This window comes from Homo sapiens, chromosome 9 (genome assembly GCF_000001405.40).
Source record: "Homo sapiens chromosome 9, GRCh38.p14 Primary Assembly".
In the NCBI taxonomy this organism is placed as follows: domain Eukaryota; kingdom Metazoa; phylum Chordata; class Mammalia; order Primates; family Hominidae; genus Homo; species Homo sapiens.
In genome coordinates, this window is record NC_000009.12 from 87,719,357 (window position 1) to 87,732,997 (window position 13,641).

At 45.1% G+C, this 13,641-nt stretch overlaps 1 protein-coding gene across 10 annotated transcripts, besides 44 other annotated features; it reads left to right on the forward strand.

Moving 5' to 3' along the window:
* Positions 3,090 to 3,139: an enhancer, noted in NCBI's record as "active region_28523". NCBI's record gives its function as "activates an Ori minimal core promoter by ATAC-STARR-seq in GM12878 lymphoblastoid cells {active_cell/tissue: GM12878}" and the evidence as "EXISTENCE:reporter gene assay evidence [ECO:0000049][PMID:35858748]".
* Positions 4,969 to 5,290: a transcriptional cis regulatory region, noted in NCBI's record as "-1875 to -1470 fragment present in the pRB1.75 construct but absent in the pRB9 construct". NCBI's record gives its function as "positively regulates the -1825 CTSL promoter in transfected U87MG glioblastoma cells {active_cell/tissue: U87MG}" and the evidence as "EXISTENCE:reporter gene assay evidence [ECO:0000049][PMID:11574156]".
* Positions 4,969 to 6,836: a promoter, noted in NCBI's record as "1.9 kb -1825/+75 or -1875 fragment used in the pRB1.75 reporter construct". NCBI's record gives its function as "drives CTSL expression in transfected U87MG glioblastoma and HepG2 heptocarcinoma cells {active_cell/tissue: U87MG | HepG2}" and the evidence as "EXISTENCE:reporter gene assay evidence [ECO:0000049][PMID:11574156, PMID:17574778, PMID:20536385, PMID:21687683]".
* Positions 4,969 to 8,248: a biological region, named in NCBI's record as "CTSL promoter region". NCBI's record gives its function as "regulatory_interactions: CTSL | LOC116186942 | LOC117693187".
* Positions 5,187 to 6,808: a promoter, noted in NCBI's record as "-1600 to +10 fragment used in the human CTSL promoter construct". NCBI's record gives its function as "drives FOXO1-mediated CTSL expression in transfected HEK293 embryonic kidney cells {active_cell/tissue: HEK293}" and the evidence as "EXISTENCE:reporter gene assay evidence [ECO:0000049][PMID:20088826]".
* Positions 5,291 to 6,836: a promoter, noted in NCBI's record as "-1470/+75 fragment used in the pRB9 reporter construct". NCBI's record gives its function as "drives CTSL expression in transfected U87MG and U373MG glioblastoma cells {active_cell/tissue: U87MG | U373MG}" and the evidence as "EXISTENCE:reporter gene assay evidence [ECO:0000049][PMID:11574156, PMID:20536385]".
* Positions 5,303 to 6,735: a promoter, noted in NCBI's record as "1.4 kb fragment used in the CTSL promoter constructs". NCBI's record gives its function as "drives CTSL expression in transfected PC12 rat chromaffin cells {active_cell/tissue: PC12}" and the evidence as "EXISTENCE:reporter gene assay evidence [ECO:0000049][PMID:22871890]".
* Positions 5,344 to 5,373: a protein binding site, noted in NCBI's record as "DBE1 probe that binds FOXO1". NCBI's record gives the evidence for it as "EXISTENCE:protein binding evidence [ECO:0000024][PMID:20088826]".
* Positions 5,358 to 5,360: a transcriptional cis regulatory region, noted in NCBI's record as "bases mutated in the DBE1 mutant reporter construct". NCBI's record gives its function as "important for FOXO1-mediated CTSL expression in transfected HEK293 embryonic kidney cells {active_cell/tissue: HEK293}" and the evidence as "EXISTENCE:site-directed mutagenesis evidence [ECO:0005528][PMID:20088826]".
* Positions 5,505 to 6,836: a promoter, noted in NCBI's record as "-1250/+36 fragment used in the pGL3-1250/+36 reporter construct". NCBI's record gives its function as "drives PPARgamma-induced CTSL expression with low-moderate activity in GW929-treated human monocyte-derived macrophages {active_cell/tissue: HMDM(+GW929)}" and the evidence as "EXISTENCE:reporter gene assay evidence [ECO:0000049][PMID:21700710]".
* Positions 5,747 to 5,760: a protein binding site, noted in NCBI's record as "C/EBP.1 probe". NCBI's record gives its function as "binds C/EBPalpha in HepG2 heptocarcinoma cells {active_cell/tissue: HepG2}" and the evidence as "EXISTENCE:protein binding evidence [ECO:0000024][PMID:21687683]".
* Positions 5,752 to 5,754: a transcriptional cis regulatory region, noted in NCBI's record as "-1112/-1126 C/EBPalpha site 1 bases altered in the C/EBPalpha mutant reporter constructs". NCBI's record gives its function as "important for activity of the CTSL -1530 or -1470 promoter in transfected U87MG and U373MG glioblastoma cells and HepG2 heptocarcinoma cells {active_cell/tissue: U87MG | U373MG | HepG2}" and the evidence as "EXISTENCE:site-directed mutagenesis evidence [ECO:0005528][PMID:20536385, PMID:21687683]".
* Positions 5,814 to 5,827: a protein binding site, noted in NCBI's record as "C/EBP.2 probe". NCBI's record gives its function as "binds C/EBPalpha in HepG2 heptocarcinoma cells {active_cell/tissue: HepG2}" and the evidence as "EXISTENCE:protein binding evidence [ECO:0000024][PMID:21687683]".
* Positions 5,820 to 5,822: a transcriptional cis regulatory region, noted in NCBI's record as "-1044/-1058 C/EBPalpha site 2 bases altered in the C/EBPalpha mutant reporter constructs". NCBI's record gives its function as "important for activity of the CTSL -1530 or -1470 promoter in transfected U87MG and U373MG glioblastoma cells and HepG2 heptocarcinoma cells {active_cell/tissue: U87MG | U373MG | HepG2}" and the evidence as "EXISTENCE:site-directed mutagenesis evidence [ECO:0005528][PMID:20536385, PMID:21687683]".
* Positions 5,969 to 6,836: a promoter, noted in NCBI's record as "-783/+36 fragment used in the pGL3-783/+36 reporter construct". NCBI's record gives its function as "drives PPARgamma-induced CTSL expression with maximal activity in GW929-treated human monocyte-derived macrophages {active_cell/tissue: HMDM(+GW929)}" and the evidence as "EXISTENCE:reporter gene assay evidence [ECO:0000049][PMID:21700710]".
* Positions 5,979 to 6,166: a transcriptional cis regulatory region, noted in NCBI's record as "-2273 to -2085 region present in the pGL3-PCL-(-1/-2273) construct but absent in the pGL3-PCL-(-1/-2085) construct". NCBI's record gives its function as "negatively regulates the -1/-2273 CTSL promoter in transfected DM-4 melanoma cells {active_cell/tissue: DM-4}" and the evidence as "EXISTENCE:reporter gene assay evidence [ECO:0000049][PMID:11742542]".
* Positions 6,161 to 6,180: a protein binding site, noted in NCBI's record as "PPRE-like probe". NCBI's record gives its function as "binds PPARgamma in GW929-treated human monocyte-derived macrophages {active_cell/tissue: HMDM(+GW929)}" and the evidence as "EXISTENCE:protein binding evidence [ECO:0000024][PMID:21700710]".
* Positions 6,164 to 6,171: a transcriptional cis regulatory region, noted in NCBI's record as "range of PPRE-like bases altered in the mutated reporter construct". NCBI's record gives its function as "necessary for PPARgamma-induced CTSL -783 or -1250 promoter activity in GW929-treated human monocyte-derived macrophages {active_cell/tissue: HMDM(+GW929)}" and the evidence as "EXISTENCE:site-directed mutagenesis evidence [ECO:0005528][PMID:21700710]".
* Positions 6,243 to 6,393: a transcriptional cis regulatory region, noted in NCBI's record as "-520 to -370 fragment present in the pRB4.75 construct but absent in the pRB6 construct". NCBI's record gives its function as "negatively regulates the -370 CTSL promoter in transfected U87MG glioblastoma cells {active_cell/tissue: U87MG}" and the evidence as "EXISTENCE:reporter gene assay evidence [ECO:0000049][PMID:11574156]".
* Positions 6,394 to 6,836: a promoter, noted in NCBI's record as "-370 or -1855/-1410 fragment used in the pRB6 or hCATL A reporter constructs". NCBI's record gives its function as "drives CTSL expression in transfected U87MG glioblastoma cells (maximally active) and HepG2 heptocarcinoma cells {active_cell/tissue: U87MG | HepG2}" and the evidence as "EXISTENCE:reporter gene assay evidence [ECO:0000049][PMID:11574156, PMID:14636995, PMID:21687683]".
* Positions 6,554 to 7,075: an enhancer, noted in NCBI's record as "H3K27ac-H3K4me1 hESC enhancer chr9:90340825-90341346 (GRCh37/hg19 assembly coordinates)". NCBI's record gives its function as "activates a minimal SCP1, AML or CMV promoter by ChIP-STARR-seq in naive H9 embryonic stem cells {active_cell/tissue: H9 hESC(naive)}" and the evidence as "EXISTENCE:reporter gene assay evidence [ECO:0000049][PMID:30033119]".
* Positions 6,588 to 6,591: a transcriptional cis regulatory region, noted in NCBI's record as "range of p53 binding site P1 bases mutated in the pRBp53mut-1 construct". NCBI's record gives its function as "important for activity of the -1875 CTSL promoter in transfected U87MG glioblastoma cells {active_cell/tissue: U87MG}" and the evidence as "EXISTENCE:site-directed mutagenesis evidence [ECO:0005528][PMID:20536385]".
* Position 6,592: a transcriptional cis regulatory region, noted in NCBI's record as "hypertension-associated C-171A rs3118869 polymorphism where the minor A allele promoter has reduced activity". NCBI's record gives its function as "major C allele important for activity of the 1.4 kb CTSL promoter in transfected PC12 rat chromaffin cells {active_cell/tissue: PC12}" and the evidence as "EXISTENCE:site-directed mutagenesis evidence [ECO:0005528][PMID:22871890]".
* Positions 6,601 to 6,628: a protein binding site, noted in NCBI's record as "DBE2 probe that binds FOXO1". NCBI's record gives the evidence for it as "EXISTENCE:protein binding evidence [ECO:0000024][PMID:20088826]".
* Positions 6,606 to 6,787: a promoter, noted in NCBI's record as "-1465/-1646 fragment used in the pGL3-PCL-(-1465/-1646) and pGL3-P1-(-1465/-1646) reporter constructs". NCBI's record gives its function as "drives CTSL expression in transfected DM-4 and A375SM melanoma cells {active_cell/tissue: DM-4 | A375SM}" and the evidence as "EXISTENCE:reporter gene assay evidence [ECO:0000049][PMID:11742542, PMID:16261157, PMID:18366346]".
* Positions 6,606 to 8,248: a promoter, noted in NCBI's record as "-1/-1646 fragment used in the pGL3-PCL-(-1/-1646) and pGL3-P1/U/I-(-1/-1646) reporter constructs". NCBI's record gives its function as "drives CTSL expression in transfected DM-4, DX-3, SB-2 and A375SM melanoma cells and Raji B lymphoma cells {active_cell/tissue: DM-4 | DX-3 | SB-2 | A375SM | Raji}" and the evidence as "EXISTENCE:reporter gene assay evidence [ECO:0000049][PMID:11742542, PMID:16261157, PMID:18366346]".
* Positions 6,613 to 6,615: a transcriptional cis regulatory region, noted in NCBI's record as "bases mutated in the DBE2 mutant reporter construct". NCBI's record gives its function as "important for FOXO1-mediated CTSL expression in transfected HEK293 embryonic kidney cells {active_cell/tissue: HEK293}" and the evidence as "EXISTENCE:site-directed mutagenesis evidence [ECO:0005528][PMID:20088826]".
* Positions 6,626 to 6,836: a promoter, noted in NCBI's record as "-133/+75 fragment used in the pRB5 reporter construct". NCBI's record gives its function as "drives VEGF-responsive CTSL expression in transfected U87MG glioblastoma cells {active_cell/tissue: U87MG}" and the evidence as "EXISTENCE:reporter gene assay evidence [ECO:0000049][PMID:11574156, PMID:17574778]".
* Positions 6,630 to 6,676: a transcriptional cis regulatory region, noted in NCBI's record as "47 bp VEGF response element (VRE) present in the -133 pRB5 construct but absent in the -86 pRB14 construct". NCBI's record gives its function as "postively regulates and confers VEGF responsiveness on the CTSL promoter in transfected U87MG melanoma cells {active_cell/tissue: U87MG}" and the evidence as "EXISTENCE:reporter gene assay evidence [ECO:0000049][PMID:17574778]".
* Positions 6,646 to 6,676: a protein binding site, noted in NCBI's record as "-1576/-1606 GC box probe". NCBI's record gives its function as "binds Sp3 (complexes 2 and 3) in DM-4 melanoma cells {active_cell/tissue: DM-4}" and the evidence as "EXISTENCE:protein binding evidence [ECO:0000024][PMID:11742542]".
* Positions 6,646 to 6,676: a protein binding site, noted in NCBI's record as "-1576/-1606 GC box probe". NCBI's record gives its function as "binds Sp1 (complex 1) in DM-4 melanoma cells {active_cell/tissue: DM-4}" and the evidence as "EXISTENCE:protein binding evidence [ECO:0000024][PMID:11742542]".
* Positions 6,659 to 6,661: a transcriptional cis regulatory region, noted in NCBI's record as "GC.1 box or SP-1 bases altered in the mutant reporter constructs". NCBI's record gives its function as "positively regulates and confers VEGF responsiveness on the CTSL promoter in transfected DM-4 and A375SM melanoma cells and U87MG glioblastoma cells {active_cell/tissue: DM-4 | A375SM | U87MG}" and the evidence as "EXISTENCE:site-directed mutagenesis evidence [ECO:0005528][PMID:11742542, PMID:17574778, PMID:18366346]".
* Positions 6,663 to 6,666: a transcriptional cis regulatory region, noted in NCBI's record as "range of AP-4 element bases mutated in the pAP-4M construct". NCBI's record gives its function as "postively regulates VEGF-responsiveness of the -133 CTSL promoter in transfected U87MG melanoma cells {active_cell/tissue: U87MG}" and the evidence as "EXISTENCE:site-directed mutagenesis evidence [ECO:0005528][PMID:17574778]".
* Positions 6,666 to 6,696: a protein binding site, noted in NCBI's record as "-1556/-1586 CCAAT motif probe". NCBI's record gives its function as "binds NF-Y in DM-4, A375SM, DX-3 and SB-2 melanoma cells {active_cell/tissue: DM-4 | A375SM | DX-3 | SB-2}" and the evidence as "EXISTENCE:protein binding evidence [ECO:0000024][PMID:11742542, PMID:16261157]".
* Positions 6,677 to 6,680: a transcriptional cis regulatory region, noted in NCBI's record as "range of CCAAT motif bases altered in the mutant reporter constructs". NCBI's record gives its function as "positively regulates the CTSL promoter in transfected DM-4 and A375SM melanoma cells {active_cell/tissue: DM-4 | A375SM}" and the evidence as "EXISTENCE:site-directed mutagenesis evidence [ECO:0005528][PMID:11742542, PMID:18366346]".
* Positions 6,686 to 6,716: a protein binding site, noted in NCBI's record as "-1536/-1566 GC box probe". NCBI's record gives its function as "binds Sp1 (complex 1) in DM-4, A375SM, DX-3 and SB-2 melanoma cells {active_cell/tissue: DM-4 | A375SM | DX-3 | SB-2}" and the evidence as "EXISTENCE:protein binding evidence [ECO:0000024][PMID:11742542, PMID:16261157]".
* Positions 6,686 to 6,716: a protein binding site, noted in NCBI's record as "-1536/-1566 GC box probe". NCBI's record gives its function as "binds Sp3 (complexes 2 and 3) in DM-4, A375SM, DX-3 and SB-2 melanoma cells {active_cell/tissue: DM-4 | A375SM | DX-3 | SB-2}" and the evidence as "EXISTENCE:protein binding evidence [ECO:0000024][PMID:11742542, PMID:16261157]".
* Positions 6,686 to 6,716: a protein binding site, noted in NCBI's record as "-1536/-1566 GC box probe". NCBI's record gives its function as "binds Sp2 (complex 1) in DM-4, A375SM, DX-3 and SB-2 melanoma cells {active_cell/tissue: DM-4 | A375SM | DX-3 | SB-2}" and the evidence as "EXISTENCE:protein binding evidence [ECO:0000024][PMID:11742542, PMID:16261157]".
* Positions 6,703 to 6,704: a transcriptional cis regulatory region, noted in NCBI's record as "GC.2 box bases altered in the mutant reporter constructs". NCBI's record gives its function as "positively regulates the CTSL promoter in transfected DM-4 and A375SM melanoma cells {active_cell/tissue: DM-4 | A375SM}" and the evidence as "EXISTENCE:site-directed mutagenesis evidence [ECO:0005528][PMID:11742542, PMID:18366346]".
* On the forward strand, positions 6,763 to 12,113 carry CTSL (cathepsin L). Of its 10 annotated transcripts, NM_001382757.1 has the most exons (9): positions 6,763 to 7,042; positions 8,005 to 8,112; positions 8,238 to 8,373; positions 8,671 to 8,793; positions 8,894 to 9,040; positions 9,229 to 9,453; positions 10,217 to 10,379; positions 11,025 to 11,142; positions 11,652 to 12,113. In NM_001382757.1, the coding sequence occupies exons 3-9, from the start codon at positions 8,248 to 8,250 to the stop codon at positions 11,749 to 11,751; spliced, it is 1,002 nt and encodes a 333-aa protein (NP_001369686.1). In that variant the 5' UTR covers positions 6,763 to 7,042; positions 8,005 to 8,112; positions 8,238 to 8,247; the 3' UTR covers positions 11,752 to 12,113. The 10 variants fall into 10 exon arrangements, with proteins under 10 accessions (NP_001369686.1, NP_001903.1, NP_001244900.1 ...); NM_001912.5 differs by lacking the exon at positions 8,005 to 8,112; NM_001257971.2 differs by lacking the exon at positions 8,005 to 8,112 and having other exon boundaries at positions 6,763 to 6,952.
* Positions 7,041 to 8,080: a promoter, noted in NCBI's record as "-1205 /-168 intron 1 fragment used in the -1205 bp hCATL B promoter construct". NCBI's record gives its function as "drives CTSL expression with modest activity in transfected HepG2 heptocarcinoma cells {active_cell/tissue: HepG2}" and the evidence as "EXISTENCE:reporter gene assay evidence [ECO:0000049][PMID:14636995]".
* Positions 7,280 to 7,425: a transcriptional cis regulatory region, noted in NCBI's record as "-968 to -822 hCATL B promoter region present in the -968 bp construct but absent in the -822 bp construct". NCBI's record gives its function as "negatively regulates the hCATL B CTSL promoter in transfected HepG2 heptocarcinoma cells {active_cell/tissue: HepG2}" and the evidence as "EXISTENCE:reporter gene assay evidence [ECO:0000049][PMID:14636995]".
* Positions 7,426 to 7,659: a transcriptional cis regulatory region, noted in NCBI's record as "-822 to -588 hCATL B promoter region present in the -822 bp construct but absent in the -588 bp construct". NCBI's record gives its function as "negatively regulates the hCATL B CTSL promoter in transfected HepG2 heptocarcinoma cells {active_cell/tissue: HepG2}" and the evidence as "EXISTENCE:reporter gene assay evidence [ECO:0000049][PMID:14636995]".
* Positions 7,660 to 8,080: a promoter, noted in NCBI's record as "-588/-168 intron 1 fragment used in the -588 bp hCATL B promoter construct". NCBI's record gives its function as "drives CTSL expression with moderate activity in transformed HepG2 heptocarcinoma and U87MG glioblastoma cells, and with low activity in untransformed Chang liver cells {active_cell/tissue: HepG2 | U87MG | Chang liver}" and the evidence as "EXISTENCE:reporter gene assay evidence [ECO:0000049][PMID:14636995]".
* Positions 11,752 to 13,251: a silencer, noted in NCBI's record as "1500 bp 3' fragment used in the pGL3-P1/U/I-(-1/-1646) and pGL3-P4/U/I-(-1/-3263) reporter constructs". NCBI's record gives its function as "represses activity of the CTSL promoter in transfected A375SM melanoma cells {active_cell/tissue: A375SM}" and the evidence as "EXISTENCE:reporter gene assay evidence [ECO:0000049][PMID:18366346]".

Below are 13,641 nucleotides of genomic sequence, written 5' to 3' on the forward strand. Positions count from 1 at the left end.
TGCCCTTGGGCAAGCTCCGTAACCTCTCTAACCTCACTGTACTCATCTGTAAAATGGGGATGAGGGTTATTCTGATAATCAAATGCCATAATACACAACAAGGCGAATGTGGTGCTTGGCACGTAAGTCAGCAGTGTGTTCCCAGTTGACCACTGGTTTCAGGAGGCCAACAAGGACAGTGGGATTTTAGGTGAGTCTTTGGGTATTTTCCCCCCATTTGTCTTGCTTATCTGTATTATCTATGTTTTTCATAATGATCACTTGTTTTATTTGTTTTTCACCTAAAAAATTATTGAAAAATAACAGATGAAACTGCTGGAAGGATAAAAGGCTAAGGTCCTCTGAGAATCCTTGAAAACGGCCACCAGCAAGTTATTCATTAGAAATTTCAAAGGGAAATTTCCAAACCAAGCCACCTCAATGACAGGCTTAGTGCTCTAGGAACAAGGTGGAGGGGATGTGGGCCATTATTGTTTATAAGCCAGAGAGATGGTGGGTTACTTGCTCTATCTGGTAATTAAACATTCACATATTCTACATTTTTTAAATAAATCAATGCCTTTTTCATCAAATTACGAACAGGCCAGGACACTGAAGTTTGAAGGCAAATGTTCATTCCTGTCTGCTCCACATCTGGCTTTCCAGGACAACACAATGGTCAGTCCACTAAAAGTCAAGGAAGTCCTGATTTTTCTGGCTAGAAATCAAGAAAAGTCATTTTTTGATGTGCTTATTATGTTTCTGAGAATATGCAAGAGAAGAAGGAGAAAAACACAAGCCTTCCAGATGGGCCACTGCCGGTTAAGCTTGCATTTTAGGGAGAGGTGATGCCCACCTTTAACCTCTTTCGAGGCATCACACACTTTTGGGCTCAACAACCAAAAAACAACAGGGGAGAAAGCAATGATGATGGGAGCTGTTTTGGCTGAGAAACTCCAAGGGCCCAGGAGCTCCTTCACCCTACATCAAACCATGGAAAAGAGCTCACCAGAGATAGTGGGTTGGCATAGCTCCAGATCATGCTTATGGCCCTATATCCCTAATCCATCTCTCTCTGCTCTGTCCTAAGACTTCAGTTGACTGGCCTTCCCCAGGTCTCAAGGGCTTGTCACATTCTTCATTACTTTTCTGTGTTTTTCGACAATTCTATCTAACATCTTCAGTAATATGTGTTAAGGTATGGCTCTCATAAGAGTGTTTCAATGATTCAGGGGCACTCTAACCTTCCAAAACATTTGTAAGAAGAATAGTAGCTGTGTGCTTGGAACTGCCTTCTAAGCACTACCTAACCTATCTGCTTCAATCTTCTCAATACCCACATTTTTAATTCCCCTTTACAAGTGAGGAAGTGCAGGCTCTATACATTTAAGTGTCTCACCCAAAGTGACATGGTTGTCAAAAACTGAACTATGACTTGAACTCCAAATTATTTAATTCCAAAATAAGCGGACTTAATTACTCTTTACTTGTGTACTTGATTATTGCCTGTGTCTGCCTGTCAGCCATCATGCTCACCACTCACCAGACAAGTGGTACATCCTAAATAAGTATTTTCAGAATGAACGAATACTATCTTCCCTCGAGGCCCAGAGATTGGAGGCATCATGGTGGAACAGCAGCGGGTCAGTGCTTTGTTTCACAGTTCACTGAAACATCACGGCCAGTGGCCTTGTGGCCCCTAAGGAGTCCAGACAACTATGGAGTCCTTGGTACAAAAGCAGGAATTCCTTGTTTACTTGCAGAAACACTTCATGTTGAGACTTTTGTAGTCTTCTTCCTTCCTTCTTTCCTTTTTTTTCTTTTACTGTTTCTTTCCTTCCTTCCTTCCTTCTTTTCCCTCCTTTCTTCCTTCCTTCCTGCCTGCCTGCCTGCCTGCAAAGCTAGATCAACCAGCTTAAGTTGTTACAAAACTAGAAAATCTGAATTAAGTAGAAATCATGAATTGAACATGTTTCAGAGGGAAGGAACTAAATCTAGCCTCAAATGAGAAGCTTATTTCCCAAAATATGAAAGCCTTTAAAAATTATGGCTAGCATTGTTTTTGTTTTTCTATCAGGACACCAAAATCAAGTCTACGGGTGTCTGATTTTCAGACTTCAAAGACTTTGGGGCATGCCTCAGCACCCAGCCTCATCCCTCCTCTTCTCCTCTTGGATTCAGTCCCTTCTCCTGAGTTGGGAGGTTGTCTGGACAGTGTCTTTGCTATCTGCGTTGCTCCTCTCCCCACCACCCATGTGCATTTGCCCCTCTGTCCCTCAGTGCATTTCCCCCAGGATGCTCTGGCCAAACTGACCAGGTGTCTCCATCTCTGCCCCTTTTCTTTCCCCTGAATGCTGTCCAGTGTTTTCTGGAACCTGTGAACTTCCCGTGAATGATAAATACCAAGAGCTTCTCAAAATGAGACCCCATGTTCTAAACAGAACCTGCAGTCAGGATTCCAGGGAAGGTCAGCAGGTTCCCACCCCCAGAAGCACTTTGCCGTGTAAGACATTGTCTATGGAACATCAATGTCACTTAGGGCCTTGGAAAGACATTCAGGAAGGGAGTTACTACGCCTGAATTTCTGGAGATGTGTTTAGTAGGGAAGAATTCACTATAATCCATGAATGATTGATTGATTTCTAGAAAGGCTCACGCATGTTTCTTTTTGCCACTCAGGACTGGACCTCTGAATCAGTGCGGAATATGAATGAGAGCGGTCAGGGGAGAACTGGAGGATGCTGGTGGAGGCTGGAAGGCTTGCAGTCACCTGCCTGTGCTTATCTAAGTGATGAGAATGTAGGAGCAGCAGGACCTGGCCCATCACTACCCTATGTTTGTTACAGGAGAGAGGACCGTCCTCCCACAGGTCAGAGCTATTGTTAATCAAGGTGACAGTGCAAGATGCATTCCCACTCCTGACTTCTCGCTGTAAATAGGTTTCCTGAGTGGTGTTGGTTTATTTTCAATTTGGAAGCCAGTTCAATCAAATGTTTCACTAGATTCAAGTTTGATGAAAATACTAGCAAATCCCCCAACTAACGAGTCACTATAAGTAACTCAAGGCATCAGTCCTGCTCCCCACATAAGGGAGTACTGGTCCTGAGGAAATGGGACCACATATATAGGGAACAAAAGTGATACAATGGGCCATGAGGGTGTGATGAGTATCCCAGTGATTGCTTTGGGTAAATTTTGCTGGCCACATCGGTTTCAGTTCCTCTACATAGACAAGGAAATGCTCCTCATGACCGACAACAGCTCCTCCTGCACCGAGGCTGTCTAGTCATTAGAATGGTCTCTAGAAGACAATATCATCAGCAATCACTGCTAGCAAGGAGCTGGCTTCTGTGGTACTATGTTGTTGCTAATAGTTTTTGTTAGAGCAACTGCATTGTGGGAGACCTGATCCAGGGAAGGCAGAAACCAAAGCCTGTGCTCCCAAGGAGGTTATGGAAAATGAAGAAAAACACCAGCCCCTCTGCAGGAGGAAGCTGGAAATGGTTGGAAGGACCACCCATGGCTAGAGCCCCAGCACTTGGGTCATGACTCACCCTGGGTAGGTCAAGTACAGGCCCCACTTCTTCAGGCCTTGGTTGTGGATCAGACCCTGGATTCTTCCCCTCCGGGTACAGCCCAGTTGCCATGATGCTCCTTGAGTCAATGAGCTCTTTGGTCTGATCTTCTGCTCAAGCAAAGAAAGGGTCCGGCTTCAGTTCTCAGAGGCTGATAAGTACCAAGGTGGCAGAATATGGGAGTATCCTGCAGGTGCTCCCAGCATCTGCCCTGGCTCAGGTGCCAGAGGCTTGCGATTTTCTAGCTCTTGACCTCACACCCTCGATTGTTTGTTTTCCAATTCCTTCCTGAATAACGGGGTGAACATGCCACCCCTCCTGGTGGCGAATGGGGTTCCTCAGAACTGGGAGGCCACAGTCCAGATTCTGAGGCTCTTCACTAAGCAAGTGCTGGAGAGCAAAGCCACTCACTCACAACTCTCTCTCTTTCTCTTTCAAATTTGGGGAAGGGGAGGCCATCTGAGCAGTTTCTCTCACACTCCCCAGTAAGGAACTCATGAAGGACCAAGTGAGCTCTAAGCCCCCGGTAGAAACATTCAGCTGTTCCAATGAACTTCTTGTGATCCTGAAATCTGCAAAGTTAGAACCAAGGCAGACGTAGGTACTCCAGTTACCTAACACCACAGAAATATTGTTTTTATTTCATAAAATAATAAATTTAAATACTGCTATGGTTTCCTTGTTTGCCCCCTCCAAAACTCTTGTTGGAACTTATCTCCAATGTGGCAGCATTAAAATGTGGGGCCTTTAAGAGGTGATTAGGACATATGAGCTCTTCCCTAATGAATACATTAATCTATTCATGGAATAATGGGTTCATAGACCAACAGGTTATCTTGGGAATGGGACTGATGGCTTTTTTTTTTTTTTTTTTTTTTTTTGAGATGGAGTCTCGCTCTGTCACCCAGGTTGGAGTGCAGTGGCGTGATCTCGGCTCGGCTCATTGCAACCTCCACCTCCCAGGTTCAAGTGATTCTCCCGCCTCAGCCTCCCAAGTACCTGGGATTACAGGTGTGCACCACCACGCCTGGCTAATTTTTGTATTTTAGTAGAGACAGGATTTCACCCTGTTGGCCAAGCTGGTCTCAAACTCCTGACCTCAAGTGATCTGACTGCCTCGGCCTCCCAAAGTGCTGGGATTACAGGTGTGGGCCACTGCGCCCAGGCAGGACTGATGGCTTTAAAAGAAGAGGAAGAGACCTGAGCTAGGACACTCAGCCCTCTCGCCCTGTGATGCCCTACACCACCTTGGGCCTCTGCAAAGAATCCCCACAAGCAAGAAGGCCCTCACAAGATACACTTCCTGGACCTCAGACTTCCCAGCCTCGAAAACTGTAAGAAATAAATGTTGTTCTCATAAATTACACAGTTCCAGGTATTCTGTTATTAGCAACAGAAAAGAGACTAGGACAGATATCACAGTTAGATTGTATTCTACACATTGTGACTGGTTCTCCAGAGAAGCAATGCATAAAAAGAGGAATAATCGGCCGGGCACGGTGGCTCACACCTGTAATTCCAGCACTCTGGGAGGCCAAGGCAGGCGAATCACGAGGTCAGGAGTTCAAGACCAGTCTGGTCAATATGGTGAAACCCCATCTCTACTAAAAATACAAAAATTAGCCAGGCGTGGTGGTGCGCGCCTGTAGTCCCAGCTCCTCTGGAGGCTGAGGCAGAGGAATCACTTGAACCCAGGAGGCAGACATTGCAGTGAGCTGCGATTGCGCCACTGCACTCCAGCCTGAACAACAGAGCCAGACTCCGTCTCAAAAAAAAAAAAAGAGGAATAATCTCCAAAATAGTAAACAAATTCCTGCAGACAGGAAATATAATGGTAGATACCTGAGCTAGGAGAGGGGGAATGGGGAACTATTATTCAATGGATACAGTTTCAGTTTAGGAAGATAAACAAGCTCTGGGAATAAACAGTAGTAATGGTTACACAATGTGAAGGTACTTAATGCTACTGAACTCAAAGTTGGTTAAAATGGTACTTGCTATGTGAGGTATATTTTACCACTTAAAAAACTATAGGTGATTGTGCTTCTAAAAGAGTTATCAGTTTAATCTTCAATAGAAATCAATGGACTTTGTTCATTTTTAACAAAGTCAAAATATGCATACGAAAAGGTTATGGGGTAAAGGCAGAGGTAATTATTTTTTTCCCCGAAAGGTATTTTCTACAATGAATGTTTTTATGTAATAAAAAATGAAATGACAAAAGTTTAGAATGTTTGTGGGTTTTGTTCCTTAAATCCTTAATTACATAAATTAATATCTACATTATACAGATTAAGATACATATTTTTCCTCTATCTACAACATTTCTCCATTCTCTGTATCTTAAATCCTGACATTAAATGTCATTAAATTTCTTAAATCTCAAGAGAACGACTTGGTTACCAAGGAAGATATAATCCATAGCCTAGAGAGTGGGCGAATAAAAGCAGCTTCTAATGTTCTCAACTGCTTTTCTCCTGTCAACCAAATGTTTCTGTAAATAACTCATTTCTGTTGGTTTTGGGTAAGACGTGGGAGAAGGAAGAATCCCTGAATGGAGGAGTCTGGAAAGGATGCTTGACAAAACGCCCGCGCTCTCTGGAGACGCAGCCAGTCTCCTCCCTCCTAGGGTCTGGTCTTGACGATAGCATCTCGTGTTTTGGGGATGCCTTTCCTTACCAGATTCTTCTAAAGCCCAGCTGCACCCACCCTTAAGTGGGAGATAAGGCTTCTGCCCGCGGGCTCTGCGTTCGTCCACCCGGCCCCACGTTTGCTGTGGACTAAACAGGAGCCACTGGACTAGAGTACACTTGACTCTCGGCTCTGCGGACCAAAAATTCCAGGACTAAGGAATAGCAAGGTTAGGCTGAAACAGTCCACACAGGGCTTGCGGTAAACGTCTTTTCAGGAGCCACTCGCCCAGTGCAGTAAGTCGTGTACTTAGTTGACTCGAGCGCTCCAGGGAGACGCCCGACCCTACTCTGCGCCGCCCCGGGGCACCAGCTCTGCTTCCTCCAGGTCCACTGAGGCAGGCACGCCCAGCTCTGGGACAGTCAGTAAACAAGCCACGAACCGCGCCAGGGATCAGAGCACCCAGAGTCCCCGCCCAGCTGCCGGCACAGCCAATCGCAGCGCAGCCAGGCGGCGGGGCGGTGCCGGCCGAACCCAGACCCGAGGTTTTAGAAGCAGAGTCAGGCGAAGCTGGGCCAGAACCGCGACCTCCGCAACCTTGAGCGGCATCCGTGGAGTGCGCCTGCGCAGCTACGACCGCAGCAGGAAAGCGCCGCCGGCCAGGCCCAGCTGTGGCCGGACAGGGACTGGAAGAGAGGACGCGGTCGAGTAGGTGTGCACCAGCCCTGGCAACGAGAGCGTCTACCCCGAACTCTGCTGGCCTTGAGGTGGGGAAGCCGGGGAGGGCAGTTGAGGACCCCGCGGAGGCGCGTGACTGGTTGAGCGGGCAGGCCAGCCTCCGAGCCGGGTGGACACAGGTACCGCAGCCAGGCCGCGCCGCGCCGACTCAGGGCCTGGCCCGGCCAGACAGGGAAGCTCAGTCCCCGCACGCCAGACAGCGGTACTCCTGCTGGCGTCACCGCAAACATCCTCTGACCGCTACAGCCAGTGTGTGGCGCAGGCGTCATGTCCCCGGCCCTGCCACGCCTGGAGCCCTGGAAGCTGGCTGCAGGGCGCTGGCTTCCCGCGTGCGGCCATATGACCCCGTCCCTGATTTAGGGGAGCAGTTTGGGGTGTCGGCAGCACAGGCCCAAGTGAATGAAGGAGGGAGCAGTGCGTGCTCTCCTTCCCAGTTTTTCCTGGGAAAGCATTTCAGAAAGGTTTCATTTAAGGAGAGGTTGGGGCGGCGCGGTGGCTCACTCCTGTAATCCCAGCACTTTGGGAGGCTGAGGTGGGCGGATCACCTGAGGTCAGTAGTTCGAGACCAGCCTGGCCAACATGGTGAAACCCCGTCTCTACTGAAAATACAAAATTAGACGGGCGAGGCGGCGCACGCCTGTAGTTCCAGCTATTCAAGAGGCTGAGGAAGAATGGCTTGAACCCGGGAGGCAGAGGTTGCTGTGAGCCGATATCGCGCCGTTGAACTCCAGCCTGGGCCACAGAGCAAGACTCCATCTCAAAAAATAAATAAATAAATAAATAAATAAATAAATAAATAAATAGGAGAGATTGGAAAACTTATCTCAGCTTTTGGTGTTTGTTAGTCAGGAAGATGTGTGAAGGCCTCCTAACTCTTGGGGATCTCTTTGTCCCTACTTGGGAATCCCACCTTATCATTAGTGAGGTTTTGCCTGGGCACGAAACCTGGATTTTTTGCGATTGGTACAAAACCTGGATCAACCGTTTCCCGGTTTCCTAGTTGTTGCCTTAAGCTTCTCACACACAAGGTAGTTTCATACCGTTCTCATAACCTAAATTGTCATCGCATAAACTGTTTCAGCTCCTACAGCTCTGGACAGGCTGCTTTTCATTTTGGTGAGTCCATCCAGTACCTCCACGTGCCCTGTTTTTCTCCAGGCACATCCTTGGCCTCTTCCACAGTCCTTGGGTAAATGCTTGGGAGAATAATTTAAATATTTTTATTCTACCATGGTGGCCCTAATTTTTCAGGGGGCAGTAAGATGGCTTTTTAGGATTGGTCTAATCAGATCCTCATTTTTGTTCCCTTCCTAGGTTTTAAAACATGAATCCTACACTCATCCTTGCTGCCTTTTGCCTGGGAATTGCCTCAGCTACTCTAACATTTGATCACAGTTTAGAGGCACAGTGGACCAAGTGGAAGGCGATGCACAACAGATTATACGGCATGGTTAGTGAAACTTCCCCAGAAAGAATAGTCCTGGCTGTTGAGAAGTTTTAGTCAGAGAGTAGCTTCTAGAGGCCAGCTTTTACCAATAGCCTAATGTAATAACCTAATGGCGTGGATTATGAGCACAATGTGGACATTCATCCTTGTTGTGTCTCAGTTTGGAGAACAGCATCCCCAGAGGTGTCAAGCCTTCCCTTGCCATGGTTTCTCTTCCATCTCTGTCTGCAGATTCACTTGGTGAGGATGAGTTGGGTTTTAGGTAGAAGTAAAGAGCATCAGTTACATGTTTGCCTCTAGAATGAAGAAGGATGGAGGAGAGCAGTGTGGGAGAAGAACATGAAGATGATTGAACTGCACAATCAGGAATACAGGGAAGGGAAACACAGCTTCACAATGGCCATGAACGCCTTTGGAGACATGGTAAGTGTGCTGTGGACTGCCGAGCTCTGTGCTTCCTCTCTTCGGTTCTTTACTAAGGTAATCTCTTGCTTTTCAACATTTTATTTCCTTTTCCTTGAAGACCAGTGAAGAATTCAGGCAGGTGATGAATGGCTTTCAAAACCGTAAGCCCAGGAAGGGGAAAGTGTTCCAGGAACCTCTGTTTTATGAGGCCCCCAGATCTGTGGATTGGAGAGAGAAAGGCTACGTGACTCCTGTGAAGAATCAGGTGAGACAGTGTCAGGTTCAGACCTCCCATCTTCCCAGGAAAGCCAAGAAGTGATTGACATCTTTGTTTTGGTAGACTTTAAAGTGATGTACAGTTCACTTTTTAACAGTATTCAGATGTGTGAGCTGTTGTCAAAGTCTTATTATTTTTTTTTTGTGGATGACAGCTTTTTTTAATTCCCTTTTCAGGGTCAGTGTGGTTCTTGTTGGGCTTTTAGTGCTACTGGTGCTCTTGAAGGACAGATGTTCCGGAAAACTGGGAGGCTTATCTCACTGAGTGAGCAGAATCTGGTAGACTGCTCTGGGCCTCAAGGCAATGAAGGCTGCAATGGTGGCCTAATGGATTATGCTTTCCAGTATGTTCAGGATAATGGAGGCCTGGACTCTGAGGAATCCTATCCATATGAGGCAACAGTAAGTGGAGCTCCTTGTCATCATTCCAGCTCAGCTTTTGGAAGGTGGACACTTTAAGAGATAACAGATACCTTTTTCGGAATTCATATATTAGGGCTGGGTGGGGTGGCTCACGCCTGTAATCCCAGCCCTTTAGGAGGCTGAGCCAGGCAGATGGCTTAAGCTCAGGAGTTTGAGACCAGCCTGGGCAACAAGGTGAAACCTTGACTCTATCAAAAATACAACGAAAATTAGCCGGCTGTGGTGGTGTGCGTCTGTGGTCCCAGCTATGCTGAGGTAGGGCGATTGCTTGAGTGTGGGAGGTGGTTGTGCAAATGCACTCTCCAGTCTGAGTGACAGAATGAGACCCTGTCTCCAAAAAAAAAAAAAAGTTCACATATTAGATGGCAGAATATATATCTGCAAATTGTCAGTACTGTCATTATAAATTATTAGCCTTTGCACAATCCTGTGATTAGATGGGTAACATATAGCTGTTCTTGCTTCTATGTAACGTGAAGAATATACAAGCCATTCTAAATATACACATTTCTCTATTGTGAAAAATGTCTTATGGAAGTAAACCCAGAGGTCTCATTGAAGAGACTGGAGTCAATTTTCAGTTTCAGATTAACTAATAGCATTTCACTTCCTGGGATGATTTATAACAGTGGTGACTTGGAAATACTAAGCTGCACACTGCTGAGTGTTGTGGTTCTAACTCATGTTCTCCAGGAGGAGGACAGCAGTAATCAAGTCTTTTTTTTCCCTTTACCTTTGAAAGGAAGAATCCTGTAAGTACAATCCCAAGTATTCTGTTGCTAATGACACCGGCTTTGTGGACATCCCTAAGCAGGAGAAGGCCCTGATGAAGGCAGTTGCAACTGTGGGGCCCATTTCTGTTGCTATTGATGCAGGTCATGAGTCCTTCCTGTTCTATAAAGAAGGTAAGCATATTTTTCTTTGTAGAAATTGATGCAGAAAAAGAGTATCATGACATACGAGCATGATAGACTCTGGTTTGCAAGTAAAGTTCAGTGTAGATATTTAGGTGCTTAGCATCATAGTTGTTCATTCTGTACATGCAATATTTATACCTGATGTTTCCATTTGACATTATGTTGCGTATATCTCCATGAATATAAGTACTTCATAACTTTTTATAAATAGCTATATTTACTGTGTAGTTTAATATACTTAAAATATTCTGCAATTGTTGGATTTTTATAATTTTTCCAAAGATTTTTACTTCTATTATTAAATCCGAAAAGAGCCTTTTGATTCAAGGATTTTAGTGTTCTGTGCTATTTTTTTAGATTGATATCCTAGAGTAGAATTACAAGCTTACAAAGAGGGGTCTTTTTTTCCTCTAGGAAAGCTTTTTTTTAATGAAGGATTTATGCTGATTTCTATTTCTGCTAGTTGTAAATGAGAGCTTAAATCCCTGGCCTTCTTATTGTTGTTAAGTACTATCTGGAATGTGTGTCACTTCACTGAATTCAGAGATGCCTCATTCCCTGTGGGTGACAGGATGGGTTACTGTCATGTGTCCTCTGGAGCTTCTCACCCCAGCCCTCATTTTACCATCCCAGGCATTTATTTTGAGCCAGACTGTAGCAGTGAAGACATGGATCATGGTGTGCTGGTGGTTGGCTACGGATTTGAAAGCACAGAATCAGATAACAATAAATATTGGCTGGTGAAGAACAGGTATAAATTGCCAGAAATACTTACATTTGAAATTCAAAAGAGAATACTTATTTGCAAACAGTGTTTGGATACAGTTCCACATGCCCTTAGGCATACTTCTGAAATCCCCAGAAGTCTAAGTTGAACATATAATATTAATGTTTGATTATAAAAGTAAGAAACTGTCACAAATATCTTGGGAGTATGAATATAGTATTTGTTCCATTGTATAAAGGTGTATCTAAATCTGAACAGTTTTTAAATTCTGAGGCATATCTGGCTGCAAAGACATCCTATTGTTTTCCTGTCTCTGATCTGTAGTTCTGTGAAAGGTCACAGTTTGGAGGCTGGGATGGAAATTATGTCCAGGTTATGTCAAGAATTTTTTAAGGATAAACAGGAACATTGCCTGTCCTGATTCTTTCTGTTAAGTCTATGGCCTCTGGCACAGTGTTTAAGTTGGGTGTTCCTGTTAATAACCCTTTGGGCTTTATTCTTTCTCTGAAATGGAAAACCTGCTCTTTTTTCAGCTGGGGTGAAGAATGGGGCATGGGTGGCTACGTAAAGATGGCCAAAGACCGGAGAAACCATTGTGGAATTGCCTCAGCAGCCAGCTACCCCACTGTGTGAGCTGGTGGACGGTGATGAGGAAGGACTTGACTGGGGATGGCGCATGCATGGGAGGAATTCATCTTCAGTCTACCAGCCCCCGCTGTGTCGGATACACACTCGAATCATTGAAGATCCGAGTGTGATTTGAATTCTGTGATATTTTCACACTGGTAAATGTTACCTCTATTTTAATTACTGCTATAAATAGGTTTATATTATTGATTCACTTACTGACTTTGCATTTTCGTTTTTAAAAGGATGTATAAATTTTTACCTGTTTAAATAAAATTTAATTTCAAATGTAGTGGTGGGGCTTCTTTCTATTTTTGATGCACTGAATTTTTGTGTAATAAAGAACATAATTGGGCTCTAAGCCATAACTGCTGTGCCAGTGGCTCACTAGGAGGAAGAGTGGGTGGCCTTCTGGGTCTTCTAGTCACAGATGTACAGATCTCATGTCAGCTGCCCAGTGGCTATGTCTTAACCAATCCTTGATTGCAGCAAAATTTGAAAATGATCTATGAGGACAAAGGAAAATTGTTTGAATAAAGAAAAATATTCACTTTTTAGAAAAGTGAACATACATATATATAATTTTAATACTAGAAAAGGACTTTAGTGATCGTGTTTATTTCACCCAAAGTGGTTGCATCTCAGTCAAGTTACAGGGCAAAGGTCTCAGCCTGTTTCTGGAGCATCTTCGCCCACTGCTGGTGAAGGCCCTGTGGACACTTTGCAGTCAAGGTGGGTTAAGAACTAGTGCATTGCCAAGGCTGTTTGTTTTTGGGTCCTCAAGGGATGAGGAATAAACTTCAGGGTTTGAGGCTGGGGTTCAGAAGTGGTGCTCTGGCCTCAGAAAATAAAAGACAAGTGAGAGGCTAGAAATGACAATCTGTTGCCCTATTTAGAGCAAGCTACCTGAAAATACCTGATTTATTTTTTTTTAAATAGAAAAACTTCCCACATCGCACTAGCTAAACAGCCCATACTTCCATCACCTGTGTGTTTTCAGAAGTCTCTTGTTCCAACTGAAGGAAATATAAAGAACAGATGAGAATGTCCAATGAATAGACTCCATATCACAGAGGAGGGTAACCAGGTGTACAATGGAGTCTCAGCTTACAAAGCCCCCGGGAGGTTCTGTCCAAGTCCATCTCGATTGGACCACATGCCTTGCTGGACTCTCATGTGCCCTTCCCGAGTAGTTGCTAAAATTTCAAACTTTTTGACCTAAAATGGCAAATGTGGCATCTGTGAAATTCTTTGGGTATTGTAATAAAAGTCACCAGGGGTAGCAAGATTTGGGGAGGTTCCCAGGCTAAATCCCTCGTGCAGGTTGGGGCTTAGATTTGATAAACTGGAATTTATATACAACACCCACTACATGCTGGTCATCACCACTGTGGAAGAGACAGACCCTGACCTCAAGGAGCTGAACAGTTAGGGAGAGTGAGGTTAGCAGGGAGGGCTTCCAGGAAGAAGTTAAAGCAGATGGCTAGAGCAGCTAGTCAATAAGGGAAGATGAAGAGGTGAGCATCTTAGCAGAGACTAGCACATCAGCAACCCTGAGAAAAGACCCTGTGGTTACAGACCCAGTAAAAGTCACTGGGTCCAGGTGTTGGGAGATGAAGCTGGTCAAGAGGTAGATTTTCAGGATAAAGGAGCCACTGGGAGTGCAGTGAACAGACTGTTTTGGTTCTGTTACTGTAAAACAAACCACCCAGAAACCCAATGGCTGGGAAGGAACATCTTTCACATGATTCTGCCTGGACTTGGCTGTGTGGTTTTCACGTGGAGGTCTATATCTGTGCTTGAGACATCTGCAGGTTTGAGTGAACTGGACATCTGCAAAGGCTCACTCACATGGCTGGCTGCAGATGCTGGTGCTGGCTGGACGTTCAACTTGGG

What these genes read in the sequence shown, in the direction of transcription:
- CTSL (NM_001382757.1), top strand. Translation starts at nt 8,248, where the DNA reads ATGAATCCTACACTCATCCTTGCTGCCTTTTGCCTGGGAATTGCCTCA. An exon ending in ACAACAGATTATACGGCATG is followed by an intron (nt 8,374 to 8,670) that starts GTTAGTGAAACT and finishes GTTTGCCTCTAG; the next exon opens with AATGAAGAAGGATGGAGGAG. An exon ending in TATTGGCTGGTGAAGAACAG is followed by an intron (nt 11,143 to 11,651) that starts GTATAAATTGCC and finishes CTCTTTTTTCAG; the next exon opens with CTGGGGTGAAGAATGGGGCA.